The following is an 8,281-nucleotide window of genomic DNA, read 5'->3' as shown; positions in this document are numbered from 1 at the left end:
TTTTCAAGCATTACATGCTGGTCACAATAACTGTTTCAGTCAGCTTTAAGGCTGCTCCTTGCAGCAAAATGAAAAGACAAGAGGAAAAGAAAAGGAAAGAATTCGTTAAGTCTTTTCATAGGAGAATTGCTTACCTAAATTAACATAGAAGTTTAAGTTATAGCTCTTGAGAATTTATATTTTAATATTTTATATTAATATTTTGTAAGAGCCACTTTTGTATAAAAGTTCTCTATTATCTTCATATACTGAATAAGTTTGTCCTACCAAATGATATTTTTGTGATTGCATCTTTTACTTTCTGATTTCTAAAATTAACATACAGTAAAAAAGATGACATTTGGGTGTACGGTTGCACGAGTTTTCACCACCAGCATGATCAGGGTGCAGTTCTATCACCTCCCCAAATTCCCTTGGTCTCCTGGACCACCACAGAGAGGAATTCTTTTATATTCTGCCTAGGAAATCAAAGCTTGGCTGACAGGCCAGTTGAAGCTGAGGGTAGAGGGAGCAGCCATCTTGCAGTCCAACAGGTATTCTTTCAGTCCTTGCATGTTAACATTAAAAGGCTTTCATTATATATTAAAAGCCTATTTATTTTATTTTATAAAATAAATAAATAATTAAAACCATAAGGAAAAACAGTTTCATTGATACATGAAATTTAGGTCAATTGCTTCCTCGAGACACAATCCCCAAATCGTTGGTAGTGCTGTCAGTGGTAAACTATTAAAGGATGCAACACGACCCCTGGGAAAGACAGGATGCTGTACCTCATTTCTACCCCTTCATCCACACTGAAGGGAGGGAGACAGAACTGAGAAGACTCCTACTGCCATTCATGGCACCCAGGCTGTAGGTGCCGAGCTGCCCTCAGCCCCACCTCGGCTTTCCTCCTATGCTCGTCAGCACCCGAGGTCTGTAGGGGTCCGAGGCGGCAGGGGGCTGGTATGTCAGCACTGCCCCAAGCGTGTGCACACCCAACAGGCTATGACAGCACCTGGGCTTGGCCTCAACTTTGCTCCAAGATTAGAGCGGGCACCGACAGCAGGGAGGCGCCAGGCTGTGGGAGCAGGCACTTCTAAGCTTGTGAGGGCAGTGGGGACTTCCCTGACCCTCAAGAGTGTAGAGATGTCTGGTTCCGCAGCCATGGTTTGGGCGCCTGCAGCTGCACCCAAAAGTGCAGGACCCCTGCCTGCTCCCAGCACCCACAAGAACACAGGGAGGCCGGGGTTCACAGCCGTGACTTGAGTGGCTGCAGTTGCACCTGGGGAGCTCCTGCTGCACCAGCTTGGAAGGTGTGGGGCTCTCATTGTCCCCAGCTCTGCAGCTCTGTGGAATGTGCAGCCCCAGCTGTCCCTCCCTGCTGCAGCTGGCTTGATGGCAGCGTCCACTCCAGATGGGCTGCCACTGCCATCACCAGCTACTTGGGAGGCTGAGGCACGAGAATCACACACACACACACACACGCACACACACACACACACACACACACCCCAGCTGGTGTCTCACTAGGTTGAGTGGTCCCTAAATCTACTGCCTCTGAGCCCAGCACAGCACTAGCAGTTGCCTAGGAATTGCAGTTCTTGTGGCCTATACGGCCTTTCAAGTTTATTTAGGACCCCAGAGCTCTTTAGCCCACGGTGGTGAGGCTTGCGGAAACTGGAGTTCCGACCTCTGGGATGGGTGATGTCCCCCTGGCTAGGGATGGTCTAAATGATCCCTTTTAGGCACCTGCTGGGTTCTGCCTGGTGCTAGCAGCACTGAGTTCCAATGTGAAATCCCACAATCACTGTGCTCTCCCTCCTGCAAGTACACATATTGTCTCTGCACACCACACAGCTGCTGCCTGAGGACTGGGGAGAGGCGGTGTCAGCAATTCAGGACTGTCTTTCCTACCTTCTCAGTGCCTCTTTAGGTGATATGAAGTTAAAGCTAGGTACTGTGATCACTCACCTCATTTTTTATTCTTATGAAGGTGCTTTTTTGTGTAGATAGTTGTCAAATTTGGTGTTCTAGTGGGGAGGATGATCAGTGGAGGCTTCTGTTCAGCCATCTTACCCCACTGCCTCTTCACTACTTTAAACTATGCTGCTATGATTGTGCTGTATATACATTAATCTTTTTGATATGAACTCTAATTATTTCCCCAGAATATATCCCTAAAAGTAGAGTCTCTGAGCCACAGAACATGAACATTTTTAAGGGTTTTGAAAGCTGTATAGATAAATGTCTTCCAGAATGGACATATTTAGTTATAAACCGGAGCATCTGATGATGAGACTTATTTCTATTTATGCCTTGTCAGACTTGGGTTTGTTAATTCTCTGACAATCCGATAGGTAAAAAACAAGATCTCATTGTAGTTTTAATCTGCATTTATTTGATCACAGTCACACAGATTTTTTCCCATTTTTCAGGCCGTTTATAGAGTTAAAAAGCTAGTTCATGTTACTTTTTCATTTTCTGCTAGGGGTTTCATGTTTTCCCTGTTGCTTCATGTTAACTTGTTATATTTTATTGGTATCGATACTTCATCACATGTCTCAGTTTGTCATACGTCTTTAAACTATTTATGATACTTTAATATTTCTGTTTCACTGTGAGATTTATTTATTTTATTAAAATAATAGCTTTTTTGGAAGTTTAAATTGACATACAATAAACTGAACACATTTAAAGTTTACCATTTTGTAATTTTTTGACTTATGTACACCCCCATTAAGCCATTACCTCAATCAAGATTATGAATGTATCTTTTTTTTTTTTTTTTTTTGAGACAGTCTCGCCCTGTCGCCCAGGCTGGAGTGCAGTGGCGCGATCTTGGCTCACTGCAAGCTCCACCTCCTGGGTTCACGCCATTCTCCTGCCTCAGCCTCCCGAGTAGCTAGGAATACAGGCGCCCACCACCACACCCGGCTAATTTTTTGCATATTTAGTAGAGACGGGGTTTCACCGTGTTAGCCAGGATGGTCTTGATCTCCTGACCTCGTGATCCACCTGCCTCGGCCTCCCAAAGTGCTGGGATTACAGGCATGAGCCACCGCGCCCGGCCTATGAATGTGTCTTGACTGATCACCCCTCAAAGTGTCCTCAGGTCCCTTTACATTCTTTCAGCCCTCTCCATGCACCTTTCACATCCCCTGACAACCAGTGATCTGCTTTCTGTCGTTAGATTCTTACTTTCTATTTTAAATAATTGTATGCAATTTTAAAAGAATTTAAAGAACTTTATGTAAATAGAATCATACAGAATATACTTTTTTGATAACTAGTTATTAAAAAAATGCAAATTGAAAGCATAATGAAATACCACTACACATCTATTAGAATGATGAAAATGCAAAAGACTGACCATATCACATGCTGGTGAGGATGAGGAACGGCTGGAACTTTCACATCCTGCTGATGGGCACATCCACTGGCACAACCATTTTGGAAAACAATTTTGTATTTCCTTTAAAAGCTAAACATTCTCATGCCTGTAATCTCAGCATTTTGGGAGGCCAAGGCGGGCGGATCACCTGAGGTCAGGAGTTCGAGGCCAGCCTGACCAACATGGAGAAACCCCGTCTCTACTAAAAATACAAAAATTAGCCGGGGTCGGGGGGTGGTGCGTGCCTGTAATCCCAGCTACTCAGGAGGCCGAGGAAGGACAATTGCTTGAACCCAGGAGGCGGAGGTTGCAGTGAGCTGAGATCGCACCATTGCACTCCAGCCCGGGCAACAAGAGCGAAACTCTATCTCAAAAAACAAACAAACAAACAAACAAACAAACAAACAAACAAAAAAGCTAAACATTCACCTACCATATGATTCAGACGTTCTACTCCTAGGTATTTACCTTAGGGAAATGAAAGCATACATCCATACAAAGATTTGTACATAAATGTTCATAGAAGCTTTATTTGTAATAGCCATAAACTGGGAACAACCCAAATGTCCATCAACAAACCAGTATACAAATGAATACTATTCATATGACGGAAGAGTATTTATAAACAAAAAGGAATGAACTCCTGCAATACCCAATAAGATGGATGAATTTCAAAATGATATCTTTTGACATACATAAGAACTTAATATTTAATACCACCTAATCAATTTATTCTTACATGAGTTCTGCCTCTATTGTTATATTTATAAGAATTTCCTTGCTCTTAAATTGAATATTTGACCACACAATCTTTTAATACTTTACTTTTACACTGTCATTTTAAAACCATCTAGAATTAATTTTGGTCTAAGACATAAGTTAGGGAATGGGCATTAACATCTTTTCTTATCTGGTTTGCTAGTTTTTAGGACCGTTTTTAATTATTTAGGCCTGAGTGTTTTGGTTTGTTCTTCTCAGATAGAAGTCAGTACGTGTCAAATAAATGTTATATAAAACTAATGGGCATCGAACTGTAAGAGGAAATTTATGCATAATTCTGCTTTCCAACCAAACAAAAAAGTCATAATTTTCATGAGTTTTGTATCATATAAGGAGACAATTTTGACAACTATAGCATAAATGCAATTTTGAATAATGTTATTATGTTCCATTATTCTATAAACATTCTATTTGTTTGTATTTATAGATGGCATTAGTATATATTTCACCATTTAGATTTTTTCATTTTCTCAGCATTTTAAATAATATTATATGGAAAACCTTTGTGCCCATAACTTTGTGCTTCTCTTGGATAATTTATGATGAGCCAATTCCCAGAAGTAATGTTTAGTGGATTAAGCAATTAGAGTTCTGCTTCTCTGTGCTTATTTCCACACAGCTTCCCAAGAGGATTATGCCAATTTGACACCATGAGTAGGCACGTTTGAGTCACCAGCATCATGCCATCCTTGCTTTTGGGGTGTACTACCAATGGTGGCTATGTATTCTGTCTGCTTTGTTACTCAAATGAATAAATAAATACCTCACAAGTCAGTCTACCTAGCTGGCCAAACCTAGACTTTCAGCTCCTTTCTCTCCCTCCTTATACTCCGTGGCAGCCATGGGGGTGCACTGTTTAGATTTCCTTTCAAGAGAACTTGCTTCAAGGGGATAGTTGGTGGACAGCCTCATACTTCCAGACCTATGGTAGCAGTCACCCCATGTTCTCCAGGGGCTGTTCTCAGCCAAAGTCTGAACCCCTGGGATATGAGAACCTGGCTATTCCTGCCCTGCGTGAGCTCCTCTGAGGGGCAAGCCTTGCTTTGGGCCTCCCCATCTGTTTGGCTGAGACTTTCTTAGAGCTGCAGTCTTAGTCTCCTTCTATTCAATCCTCCTCTATCCCTCTCTCCTTTGACACGTATCAGGCCAGCGTTGCAGTCTGAAGGCTCTCCCTGCCTGTGGCTGCTCTGTCTCACCTTTGTCCATCAGAGGTGTGTTCTCCCAGTCAATCTTTTGCATGTCCAATTCTGTCTTGACATTTTTCATTTGGAGGACCCAAACTGACAGATCCCCTGTGGACGAATCTGCATGATGATTGTTCTCGTAAGATAGATACAAACTCCAAATTAGTTACTAGATGAATGACAGAATGATAGAAGACAGAAGTTTTGGGGTTGGCTATAGATATCTGCCCCATAAAGAGGAGCCTTGGCTAGTACTCAGCAATGTAGGAGGAATTGGAACTGTGGAAATGATATTTCTCTGAGTTGGTGGAGGCGATAGCAGTGGTTATTATGATGTTACGGTCGTTTGTTGCTTCTTGTCTTTCCTTTGTGTGTTTCTTCTCCTTGATTGCCAGTGGTTACCGATGAGCTGTGGTAGGTCAGGCTTCGGCAGGAAGGAGTAGCTGATGCAGCATTTTCTGGAAGCGTTGCACATGAACAATGCTGTCTCCCCCCAGTGGCAACATGTCCTGCAGTATCCTGGGGTGTTACTCACACATTTTGACCCACCTGCACTGGCTGTATGGGAGAGGACAAGACAGAGAAGTCATGGTTAGAAGCAGCACAGGGCTACTAAAGCGTCAGCGCCAGATGGGAGTGTTTGGCTTTTTGTTCTGAGGTGTATCCTTAGGATGTTGTGCAAATGAGACTTGGGAAAGCCAGTGATGAGGAGACAAAAATCTTCCTGGATTGATGGCCTTGGGGAACTCTGTCTGACGAGCTCTTCTTCTTTGCCAGTATCTGCATCTTTGAAGCTTTTTGCTAAATTTGATACTACAGAATAGGATGTATGGGTAAAAACAGGGGTGGGGAGCCTGGTCTTCACGGTCAGGGAGGAGCTTGGATACTCAAAAGGGAGAAATGGGGCTAGTCTCACTCACCCCACAGGCTCCCTTTTAAGGTGTTTCTACCTTACTTGTTTTCATAGACTCTAAAACTGTAAATATGAGTCAACCTGGGGCAAAGTGGGAGGAGTCAAATCTTTCTCCAAAATCATTAAAAAGAAAATAACGGTTGCCAGTGACAGGGCATTTTTGCATTCACCCAGTGCTGTGCACCATTTCACCATCTGCTGAAATCTGTTTGCCTCAGTGCTCTGTGTCTGCCATTGGCTCACAGCAGGGGCCTCTTCGGAGCACCCTCAAGCCTCTTTGGCTTTCTTCACATCCGTTGCCTGGCCCTCCTCTGATCTCTCTCTCTCCCTGCTCTCTGTGTGTCTGTCTCTCTCTCTTTCTGACCCTGCATTATCTCCTAGCCCCAGGGTTTGAGCTGAACCCATTGCTTACCATCCTGTGGGAACTAGCCCTCTAAGAGGTCTGCTTCCATCCCCCACCTGCCAGCTGTCTGTTGAGCATAGGGATGGGAACCTCAATCTCTTCCTTCTAGGCTCAAAATCTCCTTTGAGCTCCAACCCGGGCTGATCTCAATGGATGCACATGGTGATGACAGAAGCCTTCAGTGTGTCTTAGGAGGTTAGATATAAGGAGCTCACATAAAGTGAAAGAAGATATTTTGGTTTAGGTTGAGGGTGACTATCATTTTAGAATAGAAAACAAATTTTTGTAAAGGTTATATAGGGTGGTGTTTGGGTGTGGGATATCAAGGCTAGTGGTGGTTGTTAGGAGATCTCTACCTTAGACTGGAACTCAGTGGGGTGAGCCCTGCCTCCACCCAACCTGGCTCATCTATCACCAGAGCAACCAGATATGCTAGTGTTCCTCGTTCCCAGTTTTCCTTTCCTCCTATTTATCCAGTTTACCTGGGATCACCTGGGTCAGGAATCCGAGGGCTGCCAAGACCAGGAGCAGGAACTTCATGGCTGAAGGGGTGGCTTGGGGAGCTGGTGGTGGTTTAATGGAGTTGGGTCCCTCTGTAATGTGCTTGGAGCTACTGCCTTTATAGGATCCACATGATGCCAGGATACTGGGCAGTGAACCAAGGGAGACTTTTCTGTTACCCAGAGCAGTCAGATTAGATCAGAATGTCTACTGGACTGGAGCCTGGATTGATTTATTGAGCGCCTGTGTTCTAGACTGTTAGGAGGGGGAGAGGTAGAGCAAACAGTGCGTCGGTTCCCAGCGTTCATCTCTAAAACTATGCGTTCTAGACAGTGTTGGTGAGATGTGGGGAAACTAGCATTCTCTTGGCGTTGTTGCTGGGAGTGTTAATTGGTACAGTTTTTCTTTTGTAGCACAATTTGGCAATATATATCAGAAGCCTTAAAATGTGCCTATTTTTTTACTCAGAAACTTTGTACCTTGGGCTTTTGTTTAATGGGAATAATTGAACAAGTACATAAAGACGTTTATCTCAACATTACAGTAACAGAAAACCAAAAGCTACCTAAATGGTGATAAAACATGGATCTAATCTAATATAGAAAATACAGAATATAATAGAGCAGTATGCAGTTATTAAAATGATGAAAATGTATAAAAATGTAGGCTACAAGATATGCATCTAGAATAACTTAATCTGTGGTAAAGGAACATCTATGTGCCAACATATGTAGGTATATATGTATGTAGTATGTATGCATGTGTATCTATCTATCTATCTATCTATCTATCTATCTATCTATCTATCTGTCATCTATCTATCTATCTGTCTAAAATGTCTGAGTTTGGAGAGAATGATTATGTGTACTTTCATGATTAGAAAAAAAGAGAGTTTATAGAAAAACTACTTATTGTTTGAATTTTAATATGAACACTCTTACCTCTAAATTTTTGCTTTCTTTCCCTAGAGTTTAAGGTTTCTGGAGGCTAGAGACTTTGCCATTTCCACATTCTTCTCAAGAAATATTTTGTGTTTTCCTCCCCCCAATAGCGTCCTTTGGAGTCTGTTTCCCATTGAGACAGTTCTTTTCTGTTCCAGCTCACTTTTCCAGAATCCTTTCTCT

At 42.7% G+C, this 8,281-nt stretch overlaps 1 protein-coding gene across 1 annotated transcript; it reads right to left on the bottom strand.

The window, feature by feature from the left end:
• Nucleotides 1–3,878: 3,878 nt before the first annotated feature.
• Nucleotides 3,879–7,251, bottom strand: DEFB132 (defensin beta 132). The gene is made up of 2 exons (NM_207469.3): nt 7,139–7,251; nt 3,879–5,898 (listed from the first exon to the last, which is right to left on the bottom strand). Exons 1-2 carry the CDS (start codon nt 7,194–7,196, stop codon nt 5,669–5,671), a joined length of 288 nt encoding a protein of 95 aa, NP_997352.1. The 5' UTR covers nt 7,197–7,251; the 3' UTR covers nt 3,879–5,668.
• Between the last annotated feature and the right edge of the window lie 1,030 nt (nt 7,252–8,281).

Source organism: Homo sapiens, chromosome 20, assembly GCF_000001405.40.
Source record: "Homo sapiens chromosome 20, GRCh38.p14 Primary Assembly".
Taxonomy (NCBI): Eukaryota; Metazoa; Chordata; class Mammalia; order Primates; family Hominidae; genus Homo; species Homo sapiens.
Note: the sequence above shows the minus strand (reverse complement) of the source record. Positions and strands in the feature narration are given on the sequence as shown.